At 48.2% G+C, this 22,004-nt stretch overlaps 1 protein-coding gene across 16 annotated transcripts in view, besides 4 other annotated features; it reads left to right on the top strand.

The window, feature by feature from the left end:
* SLC22A23 (solute carrier family 22 member 23) overlaps positions 1–22,004 on the top strand; it is a 188,078-nt gene that overhangs the window by 2,338 nt on the left and 163,736 nt on the right. For 6 of the 16 annotated variants that reach the window (XR_001743575.2, XR_007059328.1, XM_011514801.3 and 3 more), the window contains exon 2: positions 16,158–16,229. The exons of 5 other annotated variants lie outside the window; for them this stretch is intronic. Coding sequence is in view for 5 of the 11 variants with exons in the window: in XM_011514801.3 (XP_011513103.1) it covers positions 16,158–16,229 (72 nt within the window). In the remaining 6 variants the exon portion in view is untranslated. 5 more of the 16 variants (NR_104448.2, NM_001286455.1, NM_021945.6 and 2 more) reach the window with 3 other exon arrangements.
* Positions 7,438–7,984: an enhancer, noted in NCBI's record as "H3K27ac-H3K4me1 hESC enhancer chr6:3446963-3447509 (GRCh37/hg19 assembly coordinates)". NCBI's record gives its function as "activates a minimal SCP1, AML or CMV promoter by ChIP-STARR-seq in primed H9 embryonic stem cells {active_cell/tissue: H9 hESC(primed)}" and the evidence as "EXISTENCE:reporter gene assay evidence [ECO:0000049][PMID:30033119]".
* Positions 7,985–8,532: an enhancer, noted in NCBI's record as "H3K27ac-H3K4me1 hESC enhancer chr6:3446415-3446962 (GRCh37/hg19 assembly coordinates)". NCBI's record gives its function as "activates a minimal SCP1, AML or CMV promoter by ChIP-STARR-seq in primed H9 embryonic stem cells {active_cell/tissue: H9 hESC(primed)}" and the evidence as "EXISTENCE:reporter gene assay evidence [ECO:0000049][PMID:30033119]".
* Positions 21,486–21,565: an enhancer, noted in NCBI's record as "active region_23892". NCBI's record gives its function as "activates an Ori minimal core promoter by ATAC-STARR-seq in GM12878 lymphoblastoid cells {active_cell/tissue: GM12878}" and the evidence as "EXISTENCE:reporter gene assay evidence [ECO:0000049][PMID:35858748]".
* Positions 21,626–21,765: an enhancer, noted in NCBI's record as "active region_23891". NCBI's record gives its function as "activates an Ori minimal core promoter by ATAC-STARR-seq in GM12878 lymphoblastoid cells {active_cell/tissue: GM12878}" and the evidence as "EXISTENCE:reporter gene assay evidence [ECO:0000049][PMID:35858748]".

Below are 22,004 nucleotides of genomic sequence, written 5' to 3'. Positions count from 1 at the left end.
AGCTGCCCCTGCTGCCCTGCAAGGTAATGGGGAAGGTCCTTCTAGCTGGGTTCACCTTGATCCCACCCACCTCCTACCCCCTGCTTTCTAAAGGTGTTTCTGTGACTGTTTTCCCTTCACGGAGGGCAATATTTCTTTGTTGGTTTAGCAGCAAAGAAAAATTAAGAACAATGACTATTTAAATCACTGTGTATGTCTGACAGACTGAGGATTTGGCAACATTGTTAAGTATTTCAAGTGTCTTTCTAGAGCAGAGGGAGAATAATGGATCAAAGTGAGTATGTGTGAAGAGCGCTGTGTCCTGGGGTCAAAGTAGAGGTGAACTTGAAAGTGATGAGATGGGATAGAGTGCCATTACCTTGGCAGTGAGGACCCAGGAAACAGCTATTCACACTCAGCCATGCACGGTGGGAGGAGAGAACAAAAATAGTTCTTAAAAGCAGACTATGGAGGCATATTGGAGAGCTGGGCAGTTTTTCTAAATTAGCATTCGAGAGGGTCACAGACAGCCCTCATGTGTGTGGCATGTTTTGGGTGATGCTTGATGACACGTTGCAGTTACTGGGCCAGACTGAGAGGGGAAACCTGGGAACAATAATTAGACACACATTTTCTTATACAGTAAAGCCTAGAAAGGACATATTGATTTTCACAGACAAAAAAGATCTAAATAAAGGACTGCCTTCCCAGTGTTCTGTGTGTTTCAAGCACATAACAAATGCTTCAAAGAGCTTTTCAAGCACATTTTGGCATGTTGGAAGGCAGACTTTTCCTGTGCTGCTGTGTATGTTGAATACTGTATCAGATGCACTAATGTGGGATGTACACTATGGTGAGTGCAGGAGTTCCAGGGGTCAGGTGCTTGTCAGCCCACATCCCAAGTAGAAGCAGAAAGTGGAAGGAGCCTTTGCCTTCTTTCAGTGGATAAAAGCTCAGGGTTTGAGAAGCTGCCTTTTGTGCCTCTTTCCTGCTCTGTTCCATGATCTTTCTCTTGCAAATAAGCCTCATGCTGTCTTCAGCATGTATCCTGTATTTAGTATGTATCCTTTAGCGTGTGTGTGCCCTACAATATATGCACCATTCTGTCCCTAGGTGTCAGAAAGGGAGAGGAAGACAGAAGAGCTACCAGGCACAGTTCTGGACCTCTTTCTCATGTGGCTGCTGGTATCCTAGCACCTACCTACACACGTGAAACTGTCAAGCCAGTTAGAATCCCAGGTTATTGTAGTTAAAAGGGATCTTAGGGCTGACCAGCCTCTCTCGCCTTCTGCATGATATCTCTAACATGAAGTTATCCATCCTAGTTTGAACACTTCCATCGATGGAAAGGGAGTGCTTTGTTAACAAGGCAGCTAGTCCATCCCGTAGTTGCTTTTCCTTGCAGGAAGGCACACTTTGGTAAATAAAACTCAGGTTAACTCATGCCTATTTGTGCCACTTGCTCCTCAGAATAATTTTTTTTAAAAAATTATTTCTTAAATAAAATGTGTTTTCAATAGCTTCTTTCCTGGCTGAAAAATCTACAGTACTTAAGCTATTCCATACGTGCAAAAATTTGCCATACTTATCGCTCTGGTTGGCATGTGTGTCTCTTAAGCATGGTACCCAGAATCCAACCCAGCCAGGCCCTGTGTGTTCTAACCCAAAGAGGGGATTGATGGATACTGTCCTTCCCCTACTGCAACCTAGAGTTGATTCATTAGGCTTAAACTAGACATGACATACTTCTGCTTCCAGACCATGATCACCAACCCCTCCAATGTTGTTTTCCTGGGAGTGGTGGATGAAATCAGGATTTTCTCAGTTTTAGGCTCATGTAGCATGACCATGACTTAGGTTTCATCTTAACAATTTTGAGTTTCTAGATCTCTCCCGTTAGGATCTTTTTATTTTTTGCCTTGGCCTTTGTATTTGTTATTGGTACCAGAATTTGCATCGCAGAATCTGCAATGCCTTCAAAATAATGACAACATTAATGTCAGTTTCTTTTGTGCAGCCCTTTATAGTTTATAAAACATTTCATATACATTATTTTCTTTGATTAAGAATAATAACCCAAGGTCAGTCTCTAGGCTTTTTTTTTTTTTTTTTTTTTTTTTTTTTTTTTTTTTTTAGACAGCGTCTGGCTCTGTTGCCCAGGCTGGAGTCCAGTGGTACGATATCACAGCTCTCTGAAGCCTCCACCTCCCAGGCTTAAGTGATCTTTCTGCCTCAGCCTCCTGAGTAGCTGGGACTACAGGCATGCACCACCACACCTGGCTCATTTTTATTTTTATTTTTTTGTAGAGAGGGGGGTCTTGCTATATTGCCCAGGCTGGTGTTGAACTCCTGGCCTCAAGCTGTCCTTCTGCCTCGGCCTCCCAAAGTGTTAGGATTATAGGTGTGAGCCACCAGCCAGACTAATAGCAGGTGCCAATCATGGATTTTAAGTCAGTGAACACACAGTTGAGTGTGCCATGTGTTCTGTACAAGAACCAGGTACAGATGCTCCTCTGCTTCGGATGGTGTTGTGTCTTGTGTCCAGATAAACCCCTCATCAGTTGGAAATATTGAAAGTGGAAAATACATTTAATACACCTAACCTACTGAATATGCTGGCTTAGCCCAGCCTACCTCAGATGTGCTGAGAACACTCACATTAGCCCACAGTTGGGCAGAATCATCTCACACAAAGTCTGTTTTATAATGTGTTGAATATCTCGTGTGACTTACGGAATACTGTACTGAAAGTGAAAAAGAGAATGGTTGTGTACTTCAGATACTCACACAACCATCGTGTTTTTCACTTCTGGTGAATAAAGCAGCCCTTATCGATACAGTTTCTACTGAATGTGTATCGTGTTCACACCATCATCAAGTCAAAAAATCATCAAGTTGAACCGTTTTAAGCCGGGGACCATCTGTGTTCAACTTTCTGATGACTTTCACAAGCTCTGCATTTTATCTCCCAGCTCTGTTGTAAGGTATTGTCAGTGCCTTGCAGAAAAGAATCAAATTCCTTCCAAGTGACATAGACAGCAAGTTTTGGAGAGCTAAGGACAAACAGGGCCGCAGCTCAGCTCAGTTGGCTTGCTTCTCCCACACCAGCATTCCCTGCGCAGCCCAAGTTCTCAGATACTTCTGAGATCTTAGTCAACAAAGTTAAAACAAAACAAAACAAAACAAAAAAACAAAGACTCCATGGACTTGCAAATATTGCGCTTAATGATTTGCACAGGCTGGGTGCAGTGGCTCACGCCTGTAATCCCAGCACTTTGGGAGGCCTAGGTGGATGGATCATTTGAGATTAGGAGTTTGAGACCAGCCTGGCCAACATGGTGAGCCCTCATCTCTACTAAAAATAGAAAAATTAGCTGGGCGTGGTGGCGCACGCCTCTAATCCCAGCTACTAGGGAGGCTGAGGCAGGAGAGTCCCTCAAGCCTGGGAGTGAGAGGTTGCAGTGAGCGAGATCGCGCCACTGCACTCCAGTCCGGGCGACAGAGTGAGACCCTGTCTCAAAAAATAATAATAATTTGCACAGTGTATCCTGCATTGTTCTGACTGAATCTGTTGGTTTCTAATACTCAGCACTTTCTTGAGTAATCTCTAGAACTTTTGCCAATAATCAATGCCAGCTGAACTTGCCCCAATTTTTTCTGTATTTGAAATGTAGGATGTTTGTCCAGCTCCAATCTTCTGGTAGCATTTCCTCTGTTCTCATGAATTTGCAAAGATTTCTGACCTTTATCCTGAAAGTTGCTTAAATATCCTGGGAAGTAATTTGTATCCTTTTTCTAGGGCTAAAGAGTAGAAGTTATTTAAAGTGACTTTAAGTACAATTTAATTAAGACTAGAAATAATTATATCATTGCAACAGTAACACTTTTAAAAATAGCCCACAATTCCATGATCCTAGTTATCATATGATGACTAGTTTTCACTTTTGAAATGCCTTACACACAAACCTGTTTTCACAGTTCTAATCAAAGTGTTTATTTAATGGAATCTACTATTTTCTTGACACCTCATCAAAAGAATTTGTCCATTTCTTCCGAAACATTTTAAATGCATGATATTTTTGCTGATTTATTAAAAGTTCTTAAATTCTTTTCCTAATACCGAACTGACGGCCGGGCACAGTGGCTCACGCCTGTAATGCCAGCACTTTGGGAGGCCGAGGCGGGCGGATCACGAGGTCAGGAGTTCCAGACCAGCCTGGCCAACATAGTGAAACCCCATCTCTACTAAAAATACAAAAATTAGCCGGGCATGGTGGTTTACGTCTGTATTCCCAGCTACTCGGGAGGCTGAGGTAGGAGAATCGCTTGAACCTGGGAGGCGGAGGTTGCGGTGAGCCGAGATCACTCCACTGCACTCCAGCCTGAGCAACAGAGCGAGACTCCGTCTCAAAAAAAAATAATAAAATACTGAACTGACTACCATGAGGTCATCCCAGTGGTGGCTTTTGTCTAGTATATGCAACAACAGTGGATATCTTCATGCATATCTATTTTTAAAAATTGACTATAGTAGGTAATACATGTACATTGTACAGAAAGCATAGCATAAAAGTAACATTTCTTTCTGTCTCTGCCCCCAGTTTCCCTCTTCAGAAGCAACCATGGTTACCAGTTTCTCACATCCCCTTCCAGAAATGTTCTACTTTCATTTACATATTTTGTCTCAGAAACACTAGCGTATCCGAAACACTGTTTTTTCACTTATGCTGGAGATGAATACATCAGTACATAGAGATACTCATTCTTTTTTATGTCTGCATAGTATTCCATTGTCAGACTGGACTGCCATTTATTTAACTAATCACTTACCGAGGAAGCATTAAGTTTGTCTCCAGTCTTTGCTGTTATATTCACAATATATCACGAAATCTTGGCATGCACAGACATTTGCACACGTGTAAGAAATTTTTAGAAGTGGGAGGGTGAAAGTAGGCTGCATTTTTATGTTAATACTGTCAGAGTGTTTTCTGTAGAAATCTTAGCTATGCACAATTATACTAATAATATGTGTGGTTCTGTTCCCTACACCCTCCCTGACCCAGGGGATTATCAAATCTTTACATATTTTCTAGTTTGATGTGCAAAAAATTGTATTTGGTGGTGGTTGTGACTTGCATTTCTCTTGTTATGAAGGAAGTTAAACATCTTTTTGAAAGTTTTTGAGCCATCCATATTTCCTGTTCTTTGAACAGTCTCTTCATTTCCTTTGCCTTTATGTGTGTGTATATGCTGTGAGAAGCATTATTTTCTTATGTATTTATAGGTACACTTTATGTATGATGTAAATTAACCCTTCTGGATGACTTGTAACCATTTTCCTCGAGTTTGCTGTTTGGTTTTTTAAATTTTGTACATGATATTTTTGTTATGTAGAAACGTATGGTTTGGTTAGAGTTGTATGAATTAATCTTCTTTTTTATGATTTCTTATGTTAGCTTTAAGGCTTGGAAGATTCCTGGAAGACTGGGGGGAAATCCTATGTTTTCTTCTAACATTTTTATGATCTTATAACTTCTTTATTTTGGGGTTGGAGATACCTGTTTTGCTTTTCTGAGCTATTAGGATAAATTGCTAGAAAGGTCAGAGGATATAACCAGCATTTCATGCAGACGTTGACTTGCTTGTAACAACGTCCTAAACATTTAGTTTGGCAGTGGCCCTTATTAATGTAAGGATTAGAGGCTAGCCAGCTGTTAAGCAGCCTTTCCACCTCCGTTTGGGAGATAGCTGTCTTCCCAGGTCACAGGTCTCCCTTTCCTTCTTCATCTTCCTGTTCTGAACCATCTGCAGATCTCTCCCTCTCCCTCTCCGTCTCCCTCTGCCTCTCTGTAGCAACATTTTCTGCAGGTGCCTTTACTTTGGCCTTTAGTCCAAGATAGGATTGAGTCGAAAGTTGGTGTCATTTAAAAACATGGTGGGGGCTGGGCGCGGTTGCTCACGCCTGTAATCCCAGCACTTTGGGAGGCCGAGGTGGGCGGATCACGAGGTCAGGAGTTCAAGACCATCCTGGCCAACGTGGTGAAACCCCGTCTCTACTAAACATACAAAAAAATTAGGAGGGCGTGGTGGCGGGCGCCTGTAGTCCCAGCTACTCGGGAGGCTGAGGCAGGAGAATGGCGTGAACTCGGGAGGCGGAGCTTGCAGTGAGCGGAGATCACAACACTGCACTAACTGTCTGGGGGACAGAGCCAGGCTCCGTCTCAAAAAACAAAAAACAAAAAACAAAAAAACATGGTGGACTTTCTGAATCTTTGTCCTGAGGTTGCCACAAACTGGTGGTGTGTGGGAGCCAGCTTGGCTTCTATTGACTCTGAGCCTGCTGCACGTGTCTATCCAACTTCACATTCAGTAATGTCATGCTGGCAGCTTGAAATTCACCATGGTGGGAGCATTTACACCATAGGAATTGGCAAACAGTGGAGATCAGGGTTTTTTTTCTTCATAGAGCCGGTTGTTAAACATTTATCACACTAATGAGTGTGACCCTGGACCACTTGAAAAAATTTTTTTGGCCGGGCGCGGTGGCTCACGCCTGTAATCCCAGCACTTCGGGAGGCCGAGGGAGGTGGATCACCTGAGGTCAGGAGTTCAAGACCAGCCTGACCGACATGGTGAAACCCCGCCTCTACTAAATATACAAAAATTAGCTGGGCATGGTGGTGGGTGCCTGTAATCCCAGCTACTCAGGAGGCTGAGGCAGGAGAATCGCTTGAACCCAGGAGGCAGAGGTTGCAGTGAGCCAAGATTGCGCCATTGCACTCCAGTCTGGGCAACAGAGTGAGACTCCATCTATCTCAAAAAAAAAAAAAAAAAAAGAGAGAGAGAGGCCAGGCATGGTAGCTCATGCCTGTAATCCCAGCACTTTGGGAGGCCGAGGTGGGTGGATCATGAGGTCAGGAGATGGAGACCATACTGACTAACACAGTGAAACCCCATCTCTACTAAAAATACAAATAATTATCCAGGTGTGGTGGCGGGCACCTGTAGTCCCAGCTACTTGGGAGGCTGAGGCAGGAGAATGGCGTGAACCCGGGAGGCGGAGCTTGCAGTGAGCCGAGATTGCACCACTGCACTCCAGCCTGGGCAACAGAGCAAGACTCTGTCTCAGACAAAAAAAAAAAAAAAAAAAGAAAGTTTCTTTCCTCTCTCCTCCTTTTCACAGATTTGAGTGCCTGTTCTGAGCTGAGCATTGTGCTATGTGTTGGGGATACAATGATATGTGAAAGTAGACAGCTCAGCTTCCATAGAGCTTAGAGACTTCTGGGGAAGGCACACCCAAACTGATCAAGTAATAATCTTTTCATTACAAAGTGAGTTAAGCGTGTAGAAAGAAAGGGAATTGAGAGACTAGAACAACAACAACAAAACCCTGACCTAGACAGACTGGTCTATGTAAGAAAGTGACATCTGAGATGAGAGCTGAGGTTTGAGTAGGAGGTAGAGAGAGAGGCAAAAGAGGAGAGATGTGTGTGTTTTCCAGAGACAGCAAATGGCACTTGCAAAGGCCCTGTGGTGTGTAGGGCCTGGAATTGATAGCAATTGATATGGGAATGGGGGGTGGCGATGGCTTATAAACCGTGCTAAGAACTTTTCCTCTAATTTTAGAGCAAAGGAAAACCATTAAAGAGTATTAAGTGGGATAAGGGATATGATGCAGTCAGAGTTCGTATTTTTGAAAAGACCTCTCTGGCTGCAGTGAGATCTCGCGTGGTGGGGAGGGGAGGCTGTGCTGAGTGCACAGGAGAAAGCCAGCGAGGCCTGTAGAAGATGCTGATAACTCCCCCAGGGCTGACGGGGAGGCAGACACTCTCGGGAGATACCAGGGAGATGCCCTTAGCCAGCTGAGGTGAGGCCTTGGGAATGGAGGGCTTCAATGGAGGGCATGTGGAGTGAGACGAGGGCCTGGGCCCAAACACCGCACGTACGATGGAGACTTGGGGCTCTGTAGCCACCCATAGGCAGAGGGGAGGGAGGAGAGCTTTTGACAGGGAAAGGCAGCCTGACCAGAGGTTCTGGAGGAAACTGGGCCTGTTTGGGAAGCAGACATGCTGGCCTGCGCAGGGGTTCTGGGGATGAATAGTGGGAAGTCCTACTGGAAGCTCAGAGGCCAGACAAGGGGGCCTGAGCCTGTTCCCAGGGCTGTCGATAGAAAACTCGGGGCCTTTGGCGTGTTCTGCCATTTTCTCTGGCCCTCCTACTCAACAAGGGAGGATGCTAATTAAGTTTCCACACAGCTGAAAGACCCAGATATGTGAAACCATGGGGCTAGAATTTGCCTTCAAATTCAGCTGGCTTTGCCTTTGCTAATTGCTTAGTCTAGGTAAAAGATTGTCCTGGGCGTGGCCATGTTTAATATGATTATCTAGTCCAAGCCTTCAGTTTAGATGAGAAGGCTGAGCTGGAGGGCCATTGGCTTGTCCAAAGCCACCAACCTATTAGGGTTTGAATTCAGTTCTCCTTATCCTCTGCCCCAGAGTGGCCCTTACCATGGGAGAGGGGCTGGGAAGGGCTGGCAGGGGCTCCCACCCTTTGTGACTTCTCCCTGGCGCTGGCCTTTCAGAGGTGACCCTCCCGTTGTGCTTGAGAATGGTGGTTGCTGTATGTTTGGGTTTCTGGACAGTTCAGCTGTGGCTTTGCATGGGTGGACTTCCGCAGAACACCTCTCTGGGCAGATTTCTCTACTCTCTGTCTTCTTAGTCCCGGCTAGCCAGGCCCCCATCTTGTCTTGCTGCTTTTAACACCACAGGCCCGAGAGACAGAAAATAAGATGGAAACCTGCCCACATCACTTCCCTGCTTGAAGCCTTCCATGGCTCCCCATCACTGCAGCACCCATCAAGGGTGCCCTCAGCCCTGAGCCCCACATGTCTTTCCTCTCCTCCCCTGCCACCCCTCCTTGTTGTAGGGGGCATCTTGTATATATTAATAGTTCCCAGCCCGGTCTCTCTCACTGCCTTGTGCCTTGCTCATGCTATTCCACTTGCTCGAGCCCCTTCCCTCCTTCCTTCAGCCCCTTGGTTCCTGCTCATCCCTCAGGTCAGCTCAGTCTCCATCTGAAGGACGGCAACCAGCTGTCCCCTTATCCAAGCCCTCACTGGACCCTGGTTGGAAGGATGCCCGTCTCTCTCCCCTCCTGAAGCTCTTTGACTTTATGAGGTTAACACCATAAATGTCTGAACTCATCTGAACTTGATGTCATGAAAAGGGCAAGAGTGGCCGGGCACAGTGGCTCATGCCTGTAATCCCAGCACTTCGGGAGGCCGAGGCAGGTGGATCCCCTGAGGTCAGGAGTTTTGAGACCAGCTGGCCAACATGGTGAAACCCTGGTCTCTACTAAAAATACAAAAATTAGCTGGGTATGGTGGTGCGTGCCTGTAATCCCAGCTACTCAGGAGGCTGAGGCAGGACAATTGCTTGAACCTGGGAGGCGGAAGTTGCAGTGAGCCAAGATGGCGCCATTGCACTCCAGCCTGGGGGACACAGTGAGACTCTGTCTCAAAAAAAAAAAATAAAGGGGGGCAAGAGTGGCAGGCCTGGCTTGCAGCCCCAACTCTGCCACTTGTCATGGGTCTCTCTCCCAGAGCATTACTGCACCTGTTTCCTCAATGGTAGAATGCGGTCAGTGCTGCCTGACCTTGAGGGCCATTGTGAGGACAGACGCAGAACACTGGGAAGCGTGCCCCACCCCCACGTACCTGGCAAACAGCCCCCACCCTGGAAGCCTCAGGTGCCTTCCTTCCTCCCCTTGGTGGGGTGAGGACGACCGGGATGAGTCGTCTGAGAAGCACTTTGAGGGGGGAGGAGCTGAAGGCCACACCTGGAAGGGCGATTTATTCCTTGGGCGCTGCCAGGTGTCTGCCGCCTTCACCCAGAAACCGATGATGTTCGGAGCCAGGTATGCCCTTCAGACAGGAAGCCTGCATCCAGGGTGATGGGAGGAGCCCCACCAAAAAGCACCCTCTACAGGGTTTATGTGTCTAAGTTCCAACCTGAAAACAAAACAGGTCACCGGGCCACAGGGCTCAGAGAGAGGCCGGGATCAGAAAGCCAGGGGACCTTCCTGGGTAGCCAAGGCCTGGTTAGCCAAGGCCGGGAGAGTGGGGCTCTGCCTGGCGCTTCACTGCCTCCTGGAGTTCTCAGGCCAGAAATCTGAGTTTATGCCATTGAGTGGAAGATGAGCTGCATGTGTTTGAAAGCCTGGCTTGGGTGTGCTGCGTGAACATATGGCTCAGAGAGAGTGGAATTTGAGAGACGAGTTGTTGGTGACTTTGAGCTCATAGCAGCAGAGCTCAGAGAGCAAACGTAGGGGCAAGTTGAAAACTGGAGAAAGGGCTGGGGCCCCTTCCCACTTGCAGCTGAGATTTTATGGGATGCCATGGACTTTGACCTCAGTATTGTAGAAACCTTAATCTTCTGCAGGCTGGGGTTTAGTTGTTTTGTTCTTTGTGTCACTATTGATGAGCAGATCTCCCTCCACACAAGTGATTTAGAGATTGACAGGGACCTATTTGTCTGGGAAAGGGCAGGGGCTGTTGAGTGCATGAAGTGGATTCCTCTAAAATAAACCATTGCTGTGAGAGGATACCGCCAGCACGCGCCCACCCATGGCATCTGCATGGTATTGTATCCTGTCAGACCTCTCTTCGGTCTCTTTTGGCTACAAGTAACTAAAACAAATTTAAATTACATTAACAAAATATAAAAGGAATTTCTTGGAAAGATGCAGGGCAGCAGGTGGAAGGTGGGATCTGAGATCACAAAGTGGGGTGGGGAGTGTCTTTTAGGACACTCAGAAGCTATATCTTCTCATCCCATTCTCCAGAAGTGAGCTCGGTTCCCACTTCAAACTGGCTTCGCCTGATGCTTTTGCTCATGTGATCCCTGGTCAAGCAACGGCCAACACAGAGGTCAGCATCTCTCTGTCCAACTCCAGCTTCCTGGGTGCAAATCTGATTCCCAGCATGGATTGGGGTGAGGGAAAGGAGGTTTTGGAGCAGGGAGTGAGGTTACGCAGGGCTGGGGACTCCTTCAAACGGTGTGACAGGATATGGTTCCGGCTGTTCTTCAAGCTGGGGTGGAAGGGGTTATAGGCAGATGTTTCTGGCAATTAATTGAGGGTAATTGAGTATTGATGATTTAACCACTAAATGCTTTAAACAAAGTATTCTTTTCCCTCCCAGAGACTCAGGATGTAACTCACCTGCTGGCTACTTGAGCTGAGTGTGGAATTAGCAGGAACATACCTCCTGAGGCTTCTCTTCTAGGAATAATTAAACATGGCCTTAGATATTAGCTCCAGATCACCCAGGGATCTTGGAAGGAGCCGTTGGACAGTCACCAACACAGTGTTGCCAATTGTCACTCCCACCCCTGCCTTCACACAGGGCCAGTCTCCTGCTTTCCAAACATTTCTTCTAGTCAGGGCCAGCTACATAATTCGCAGGTCCCCGTGGAAAATAAAAATGCAGAGTCCCTTGTTGACAAAGTGTGTTGTCACCACTGCAGAGCTAGGCAAGGGTTTCCCCAAGCCTTTCCCAGTCTGTCTTCCTTGTTTCTCAGTAACTTCTCTGCCTCTCCTCCATTGTACTTCATGTCTTTTTCTAGATTTCTTTTGGTAAAAAGCAAAACACACTTTTTGAGGGCCTACTTTTCCCAGGGAACAGCTTTACAGAGCCCTGAGCAATTTTGTTTGGGATGTTTGGTTAGCTCAAGGTGTGCAATGGCATGAAGGAGCCAGGGAGCAGTCTTCCATTTGAAAATGCCGCTCTCTCAAAGTTGAGACAGTTGCTTTACTTATCTGAACAGAGAACCAAAGAGCTGAGTCACAGAGATGTGTGGTTAAGGATGTTAAGTCGTAGGAATGCTAGTTAAGTGTTTATCAGGTGTTTTTTTTTTTTAAATAAAGTGGGGAGGAGGGTCAATCCTTTATGTAATTTAATTCAACTAGCTAACAGTCGTGCTTTATTTCTTAGAATCATTTTAAAAATAGGTGCAAGGGAGATAATGCTGGCTTAAAACAGCCACAAGCATCCCAGTGGTCATATTGTATTATGGACGGGTTATGTACTTAGCATCGTAATTTGCACTATGGAGTGTTTCCTCCCAGATTAGATGAAAAGCTGCCTTTTGCATGTGTTTACAAGATGCTTTACAAATTGGGCGCCCTTGATTGCTATGTGTTGAGGAACTCCACTGTTCTCAGATGGATATACTTTAGCGTCTGCAGTAAGCGGATAGTCTTTGTCCTACTCTTTTTAAAACTTGTCTTTATTTGTAATTGTGGTAAAACTATAAATTATAAAATGTACTATTTTAGCCATTTTTCAGTGTACAGTTCTGTGGCTTTAGGTGCATCCTCATTGTTGTGCAGCTGGCACCATCATCCATCTCCAGAACAATTCCATCTTCCCAAACTGAAACTGTCCCCATGAAACCCCAGCTCCCCATTCCCCTCCTCTGGCAACCCCACGCTACCTTCTGCCTCTTTGAATTTGCTTACTCCGGGTACCTCATATAAATAGAGCATTTGTCCTTTTGTGACTGGCTCATGTCGCTCAGCGTGATGTCTTCAAGGCTCATCCATGTGGTAGCGTGTGTGAGCGTTTCCTGCCTGCCTTAGACTGAGGAATACGCCATTGTGTGCCTGCACCACATTCTGTTTGTTTGTTCACCCATCGGCAGACACTTGGGTCGCCTCTACCCCTTGGCTATGGTGCATGTGCGGCTGGGAACTTGGGTGATGCCCTCCTTCTTGAAGACAGTTCCGGACAATCCCTCCATCCCTCCCGTGCCCTCCCCTTCAGAGGCAGTGCTGCAGCTGCTTGCGTGGTGTCCCTGTCTTCCTCTCAGAACATCTGCCCTGGGCTGGTGTCACAGATGGGTAGAAGATCGTGTCTGCCCTGGAGAAGGGAGCTCCTCATGTAGCCGGAGACGGTTGGGAAATTGAATATCCCTGGCATGCGGCACAGGATGAGCGGGGCAGGGAATGGGAGCTGAGGGTGGGGGGTGAACCGAGCACATCCCAGGAGGGCAGGTGCAGTGCACTGTGAGGTGCCTTGGCCCAAGAACAGGACAAGGTGCAGGGGCGCAGAGGAGTCGCTTCCGTCAGTGGGCAGGGAAGCCCAGGGGGCTGTGGCATCTGAGCTATCCCCAAGGAGGGCTTGGGTTTGAGCAGTTGAAAGGATTGAGAGAGGACCTCTTCTGTGAGGAGCTGATGAAGGTGGGGAAGGGACATGTGCAGAGTGCAGAGAGGACGTGGCCTAGAGGAGGGCATGGGTCCTGACCCTGCAAGGCCCCCCTACAAAGCCATAGAGTCAGCCTTCGGCATAGCTTGATTTTTTTCCCCCAGTAGACAATGAGTCTCCTGAACTTTGTAAGTAAGGAAATGATGGAAGAACGAGATTTTAGGACTTGATGGGAGAGATCCAGGAGAGAAGGGCTCGTGTCCACCCAAAGGGTCTGTCCACAGCCCCTCAAGCCAGCCCCTGAGGCGCTGTACCTCCAGGACACACCCATGTTACTCAATGCCTCTTGAAAACCACCTGAACGAGCCCCCATCACAAAACTGTGGTAGGCCCCATGGTCCTACCTGGGGGCCACAGCCCTCTCCCTCTCGACATGTCTGAGCTCCTGCCAAGCACCTTCTCTGCCCAGTGCCCAGTGCTCCTGCCTCCTACAGGCCCCAGCCCAGCACCATGTGGTCTCTCCACTACAGAGGCTGTCAGGCTTGCCTGATGCCGGACCCCACACAACTGCTCAGGAATTTCAGTTGACCTCCCTGGGTGAGTTTCTAGGGCTGCAGAATACCACAGACGGGCAGCTTCAACTGCAGAGATGTATTTCCTTACAGTTCTGGAGGCTGGAAGTCCAAGACCAAGGTTCAGCAGGATTGGTTTCTCCTGAGGCCTCTCTCCTTGGCTTGTTACATGGCTGTCTTCGTGTCCTCACACAGTCTTCCCTCTGTGTGTGTCTGCGTCCTCATCTCCTCTTCTTTTTTTTTTTTTTTCTGAGACGGAGTCTTGCTCTGTTGCCCAGGCTAGAGTGCAGTGGTGTGATCTCAGCTCACTGCAACCTCCACCTCCTGGGTTCAAACTATTCTCCTGCCTCAGCCTCCCGAGTAGCTGGGATTACAGGCGCCCGCCACCGTGCCCAGCTAATTTTTGTATTTTTTAGTAGAGATGGGGTTTCACCATCTTGGCCAGGCTGGTCTCGAACTCCTGACCTCATGATCCACCTGCCTCGGCCTCCCAAAGTGCTGGGATTACAGGCATGAGCCACCGCACCCGGCCACTCATCTCCTCTTCTTATAGGGACCCCAGTCGAATTGGATCAGGACCCACCCTAATAGCTGCATTTGACCTTACTACCCTCTTTAAAAGCCCACTCTTGAAACACAGTCACATTCTGAGGTCCTGGGGGTTACAGCTTCAACGCTGGAGCTTTGAGGGGACAGTACAGCTCATGACAGCAGAGCTCCAGCATGGACCCTGAGCAGGGCAGCTCTGATCTGTATCTGCACCCGGGATAGTTCCCTGAAGCCCTAGGCCTGTGCATTCCCCAACCTGCTGGACTGGCCCTCTCTTGTGGTACCTGATCTTATCTGTGCCTTTTCCCTAAATCCCAGTGTTTTGGTCCTTGGACCCTAGCTGAGTGGCTCTTTATCACTCCCTTGCTTCAAATCCTCCGTGGCTCTCCATGACCTTTAAGGTGAAGTTGGGCCTGGGTGGTAGGTTTCACGGTCTCTGCCTGCCTCTCCTGCCTCCATCCCCATCATCCCCACAGGGACCCCAGAGCTCCACCCACCGATTTGTTTATTTCCCAAACAATGCTGTGTTCCCCCATGCTCTTCTTTCAGCCCAGAGTCCACCCCTCCATCCTGTTGCCTCCTTCAGACCTTCTTGGCTCCCTCTTCCTCCCTTCCCGTTTCCCACCCCTGCTGTCCTGGCCTGAATATATATCCTCAGCCCCTGGGCCTAGCAGGTACTCTGTAAACACTTCCTGCATGGTGCCAGTAAGGAGGTGGCGAAAGGGTTTTGCTCTCATTTGAGTGAGGTTGGATGGCTTAATTCTAAGATGACAAGAATAAAAGAGGACAGATTCGTAAGTTGGCTCAAACCTAAAGTCACATTTCAGTGAGCTATTGAAGATTAAGAAGAGTTATGTAGCTTATCTGAAATGGCAACTAATCAAACTTGGGTGGATCATACTGGGCTCTGGAGTTGATTATGTCTTTAAACCACTGCTGTTCAGAACTTTAGGTAGGTCACAGAGCCTTTTCTTCACGTGGAACGGGCCCATCTTCGTCCAGGGCCGCAGTGGCTCCGGTGCACTTAGAGTCACCCTGGGGAACTTTCAGAAATGCCTGTAGGACCCCAGCATCCATCGTTTAAAAGAAGTTCTCTGGACACTTTCCACGGGGTATGATTTTGCTCCCAGAGAACATTCGGCAATGTCTGGAGACATTTTTGTCGTTGTTGTCACACCTTTGGGGGCATGGGGGGAGGGTGCTACTGGCGCCTGGTGGGTAGAGGCAGGGGTACTGCTAAACATCCTACAGGGCACAGGACTGTCCACACCACAAGGGATGATCCGGCCCCAGATCCGGCCCCAAATACGGCAAGTTTGAGAAACCCCGGTCAGATCCGGCCCCAAATACGGCAAGTTTGAGAAACCCCGGTCTAGACTAATAAAAACACTCATTGTATTTCCTGACCACACCCAACAGATGGCCAAGCCTGTGGGGTGGGACAGTGGGACCTCTGCTCTTTAACCCACAGTACGGGACACATGGGTGTTCAGGCTGAGGGTGTTTCATCCTGCTGGGAATTCCCACAAGGCAGCCACGGTTCCCTGCCCTCTGTGAAGAAAGGGTTTGCTGAGCTCGTTATGGAATAAACAAAGCTCAGCAGGCAGCAGGCACGTTTAGCCCACCTAGGAAAGCATGTTTGGGAAAAGGGCCATAGTATATTTATACAGGAATGAATGTTGCTAATGACCAAGTCACTCCTTGAAGTAGGTCCTTTGAACCTCTACTTAGAATAACGGTTAATTACTAGAAAAGGAAACGTTTGTTTGGAAGTAAAAGGTACTTATTTTCAAAATGTCTCTAATTCAAACTAGCCTTTTCCATAATTAATTCCTATTACGGTGGTTTTATAGTGTTGTCAGCAGCAGGAAACTGGAGCTCTCCCGTGGGACACAGACACCAAGCGCTGGAGGCCGGAGCTGAACGTAAGCACTGTTTACGTTTGCTGAGTAATAGATCAGGCTGGTTCCCGCCAGGGGCCCAGGCAGCAAGCCTGATGGATCATCTAGTCCCAGTGAAACATCTGCTACCTGTGCCAAGGCAGGCACCTCGTGGCTTTGCCGGCTCCGAAAGTGAGTGTGCTAGGTATTAGCTGGACTGCTGGCCGGGGCCCCCTTGGGTATCCAGAGTGACCCCTTCCCCAGCAGGATGGGTCCTGCTTACATGATCGCAGCACTGTCTGCCTTGTCTCACTCTCTTGGCCCTGGACTTGGTAGCGTTGTCTTCCTTTTGGAGTGTTCTTGATGTTCTTGGTGCCTCTAGCACACGGCTGTCAATGGTGGTGGCAGGGGAGACTTAGCTGGGTGTCCTGGCAGGGGCCCATGTCTGACTCTCAGAGCTACTTTCAAGCAGGCAACAAAGATGTTCGATTGGAGCCCATCTGGCTAGAGGGAGTGAAATGCAAGAAGGTGATGGGTTCCCACAGGAGCCTGTCTGGGGCTTACCGGTTTCTGGAATTCTATTTTCTGGAGTCATCAAAATCTTCACGAAAAAATTAGCTGGGTGTGGTGGCACATGCCTGTAGTCCCAGCTACTTGGGAGGCTGAGGCAGGAGAATCATTTGAACCTGGGAGGCAGAGGTTGCAGTGAGCCAAGATGGTGCCACTGCATTCCAGCCTGGGCAACAAGAGCAAAACTCTGTCTCAAAAAAAAAAAAAAAAAAATCTAGTAAGTTCCAGAGTGGGTTTTTAAAATTATTATTATTTATTTATTTATTTTTTGAGACGGAGTCTCGCTCTGTCACCCAGGCTGGAGTGCAGTGGCACGATCTCAGCTCTCTGCAAGCTCCGCCTCCTGGGTTCACGCCATTCTCCTGCCTCAGCCTCCCGAGTACCTGGGACTACAGGCGCCTGCCACCACACCTGACTAATTTTTTTTTAATTTTTTTTTGTTTTTAGTAGAGACGGGGTTTCACTGTGTTAGCCAGGGTGGTCTCCATCTCGTGACCTCATGATCCGCCCACCTCGGCCTCCCAAAGTGCTGGGATTACAGGCGTGAGCCACCGCGCCTGGCCTATTATTTCATTTTAAAAGAAGACTTATTTGTAATATTTTTCTGGGAAGTCCCATAAGAAACAACTTGTCAAAAGTGGATATTGTCAAGACTATGAGGGAATTTTGATGTGTGTGGTTTTGTTTTGTTTTGGGGTTTTTTTTTGGTTTTATGTGTTTGCTGATAATGTGGTTTAAGTATAAGCAAATGGTTTCACTGTTTAATTCATTTCTCGTTTGCCTTCTTGTTGTTCATCGTTTATAACTATAGTTCTTTTGGGGCAGAGTCTTAGATAAGTGACCAATGGGAGGGTGGTGAGGAAAGCCAACGGCAACTTTGATGATGAATCTCATTTTTAACAGCAGTTTTTGCGAAGCTGAAATGACCTTTGACAGCAGAAGGTTACCAGGCAATTTACAGACTGAGGATGTATGGATCATCTTACTGAAAAGAAGTTTTTAAGTCTTCAGAAGGCATTTTCTCCTTGAGTACGGGGAAGCAACGACACACAGCAGCCTTTCTTTTGCGATCTGTTTGAATCTATATAGCAAACACAGTGGTCTAGTCTTATAGTTCAAAATTATGTGGGGAAAATACTGCACCAGGCATGTCCTGAGCAGTGTGTTAACATTCAGATGTTTATTGAGCTGATACTTTGTGCACAGCACTGTGCTGGGAGCTGCAGGAGACAGGGAGGATGGATCTGTGAGTGTGCTTGGAGAACAGGTGGTCCCAGGAGACAGAGGCGGGGCCAAAATAGCCTGGCAGAGCGGTGCACGGTGCATGGAGATAGGGAAGAGAGAGTTGGGAATCCCTGGGATGTGCGCCCTGTAACGGGAAGGAGCGGGAGAAGACACTTATTTCAGTTAGGAGGAGAGAATGGCACAAGACTGCGAAGAGTTTGAAAGCTTGAGGGGTCAGTCAGGATGCTGCAAGTAGCAGAAAACCCTGCATCAAACTTGCTTTAAAAAAATACAGAAGGGCCCGGGCACAGTGGCTTACGCCTGTAATCCCAGCACTTTGGGAGGCCAAGGTGGGCGGGTCACCTGAGGTCAGGAGTTTGAGACCAGCCTGACCAACATAGTGAAACACCATCTCTACTAAGAATACAAAAAATAGCTGGACGTGGTGGCGGGCACCTGTAATCCCAGCTACCCGGGAGGCTGAGGCAGGAGAATCGAACCTGGGAGGCAAAGATTGCAGTGAGCCGATATCACACCATTGCACTCCAGATTGAGACTCCGTCTCAAAAAAAAAAAGTATAGATGACATTTCTGGAAGTCCAGAGACAGGACGGGCTGCAATCTCCAGTTCTTTCTAGTTCTCTTCTAGGTCATCCTCTGCCCTGGCTTCATTCTCACGCTGTATTAGCTTGCTGGGCTGTGTAACAAATACCACAGAAATGTATTCTGTTACAGGTTTGGAAGTTGGAGGTCCTAGATCCAGGTGTGGGCAGGGTCAGTTTCTCCTGAGTTCTCTCTCCTTGGCTTGCAGATGGCGTCTTCTCCCTCTGTCCCCACGTGGTCCTCCCTCTGTGTGTGTCTGTGTCCTCATCTCTCCTTGTAAGGACACCAGTCACCTTGGATTAGGGCCCGCCCTAGAGACCTTACTTTAACTTTAATCATCTCTGTAAAAACCCTATTTCCAAACAGGGTCACATTTTGAGGTTCTGGGGTTTGGATTCCAGCATATCTTGTTAGGGGCAGGGTGGACACACTTCAACCTGCCCAGGGTCCCTTCAGGGAGAAGGGAGGCAGTCGCATCTCTGGAGCATGGGCTGAGTGTGTTCTCATGTCACTTCTGCAGTAAGTGGGCTTTCCGTCCAGTCTGTCTGTTGTAAATCAGATGTGCAAGTGAGGGCAGCTGCCAGAACTTCCATAGGAGTTGGCTGCCGTGTTCACAATCCAGGTGGTGACAGAAGGCTGCAGGTACTAGAGGGAAGGGCAGGTCCCACCACTGCAGGAGAGGTAGCTGGGAACAGGGGTGGGAGTGTGGGTCCCCATCATAGGGGAGGAGGAGGGAAAGGAAAGGGGGAAAAGGGAGACGGAGAGGGGAAGGGGAGCAGGGATGGTGGAAGAGAGGGGAAGTGGGGAGAAACAGGAGGAAGAGATGAGGAAGGGAGAGGGAAGGGAGGGGAGGAAGAGTTCATTGCTGCAGGTTGGCTGGGCTGAGTGTTTTACAGATGCCGTGGCTGAATCCTGACAGCCCCCTGAGAAGTTGGCTTCTCTGTGGCTTATAGCTAAGCTAAGCCACCTGCTGGAGCTGAGATTTGGACCCCAGCAGCCTGAATCCCAGCCCCTGCACACTGCCCCTCTGGGTAGGGGACTTCCAGCATGGGTCCTTCACTCCCAGCAGCCGCTTCCAGCACCCTTGTTGCCTGGGTTCTCCGCCCAGGTTTCTATGGAGCAGTGTGGATGGGTTGGGGCTGTTTTTCTTGCCTTTGATATAGTGACAGTCAGACTCCTGTTTGGAACTGACAGGCAGCCCATAAGCACACCTGCTAAGAACCTCAGGCCTTGACATAGCATCTGTGGGAAACTTTCACATCTCTTTTCTGAGTTCTTGGCCTAGAGATCTATTTCCTAAGCACAAGGGAGGATACGATCAAATGCCCCCTCTCCTGGAGGTTGATCCAGGCATTGCGGTTATTCCGTTGGTGGATTGGCCACACCCCTCGCGTCTCCTCCGTTCTGCTGCCTGACCTTGTGCTGTTGGAGGAACAAAAAATTGATGCTCCTCGCAATCCATCAGATATTTCTGCCCTGTCTTTGGACCCATTTTAAATAATTTCACAGATTTTTTTTTTTTTGAGATGGAGTCTTGCTCTGTTGCCCAGGCTGGAGTGCAGTGGCGCGATCTCTGCTTGCTGCAACCTCCACCTCCCAGATTCAAGCGATTCTCCTGCCTCAGCCTCCTGAGTAGCTGGGACTACAGGCGGGTACCACCATGCCCCGCTTATTTTTGTATTTTTAGTAGATATGGGATTTCACCATGTTGGCCAGGCTGGTCTCGATCTCCTGACCTTGTGATCCACCCGCCCTCCCAAAGTGCTAGGATTGCAGGCATAAGCCACCGCACCCAGCTCTTTATTTATTTATTTATTTATTTACAGAGTTTCGCTCTGTCGCCCAGGGTGGAGTACAGTGGCGTGATCTCAGCTCACTGCAATCTCCGCATCCCGGGTTCAAGTGATTCTCCTGCCTCAGCCTCCCAGGTAGCTGGGATTACAGGCATGCACCACCACACCTGGCTAATTTTGTATTTTTAGTAGAGATGGGGTTTCACCATGTTGGTCAGGCTGGTCTCGAACTCCTGACCCCAGGTGATCCATCGCCTCGGCCTCCCAAAGTGCTGGGATTACAGGGGTGAGCCACTGTACCCAGCTTTCACAGATTTTTTAAAGTGGAGGCATAATGACCACATAGTAAAATGGACAGATGTTAAGTGTATAGCTTAGTAGGTTTTGACTTGTATATATGCCCATCAACCACCCCCTAAATTAAGGTATTTCCTTCACCCTAGTGAATTCTCCAGTCAGCCCACCCCTTAGGCAACCGCTGCGTTAATATCTATCCCCATAGCATGGTTTTGCCTATTCTGGAAGGTTATATGAAGGAGGCCTGTGGTCCGCCGTGTCAGTCTCATCCCTGGATTCCTGAATGGTACTGTGCACATTGATAGTTGTTCCTGTTTGTTGCTGAGCCATATTCCACTGCATGGGTAGACAACACTGTGTTTCTCTCTCCATTGGTGATGGACGCAGGGTTGTTTCCAGCCTGTGGTGATTATGCTTAGACTGCTGTGCCCATTATAAGCTGAACATTGTCAATCCTTTCCACTCCTGGCTACCCCTCTGTTCTAATATTTAAAAGTTGATTGGCAGAATCAGGGCAGCCATTGAAAAGTCTTGACTTATTTATAAGCTAGGCAAGTTTCCTCTTTTTCTTTTCAAAATTTTTGGGGTAGGAAGCAGGAGTGATGGGAGGAGTGTGGGGAGGGGGTTACCATTTGTTAGGGGCAGGGATCCCTGGCCCTAGAGAGTTGTGGCCCCTGTGTGGCCCTACAGCTTCTGGGACTCACTCCCTAGGGCTGATAAGGAGGCCGTGGGAATGGTGCTAGTACCATTTGGGCAGGGAGAAGCCACCTAGAGGTGGCACTACCAGTCAGCTGCTGTTTGTGTCCCAAGGGTGACTTAGCAGCTGTTCTGAGGAGTTTCCTCCTGTCCGTGCAGCATGTGAGAGTGGCTTTGGCAGCCAGGCCCTCCCGCCTCTCTGTAGGCATCTCTTGCATGTGAGCGTTTGATGAAGACCTATTTATCCTCCCTTTTTGTAAGAATGACCTGGGCAAGCCTTTTGAGTGAAACTCAAATGAAACAGGTGGGGCCTCTGCTGTTACCCAGCCCACAGCCAGCTGCAAAGAGCCACAAAGCCCCAGCTTGTAGGGTTTCAAGCCAAGGAAGGGAATTATCTTCTGATGGAACCTGCTCTGCAGAATTGTACGTTCCCTTCACAAGGTTCCGGAGGCCACTGGGGAAGTATCTCCCAACAGGGATGAGTTAGTGAGAGAAGGAGGGCCAGGCCTCCTGATTTGCCTGCTCCTTGCTAAAAACCTTAAAAAGAGCAACGAACTGTAGGTGGGCATTTCCACCATATTTAAACATATGAAAAGTTCAGTGCTTTTCCTAAGATTTTCCCAGGGCTTCAAGTTTG

Source organism: Homo sapiens, chromosome 6 (genome assembly GCF_000001405.40).
Source record: "Homo sapiens chromosome 6, GRCh38.p14 Primary Assembly".
NCBI classification, from domain to species: domain Eukaryota; kingdom Metazoa; phylum Chordata; class Mammalia; order Primates; family Hominidae; genus Homo; species Homo sapiens.
This window is presented reverse-complemented; position numbering and strand designations above follow the sequence as displayed.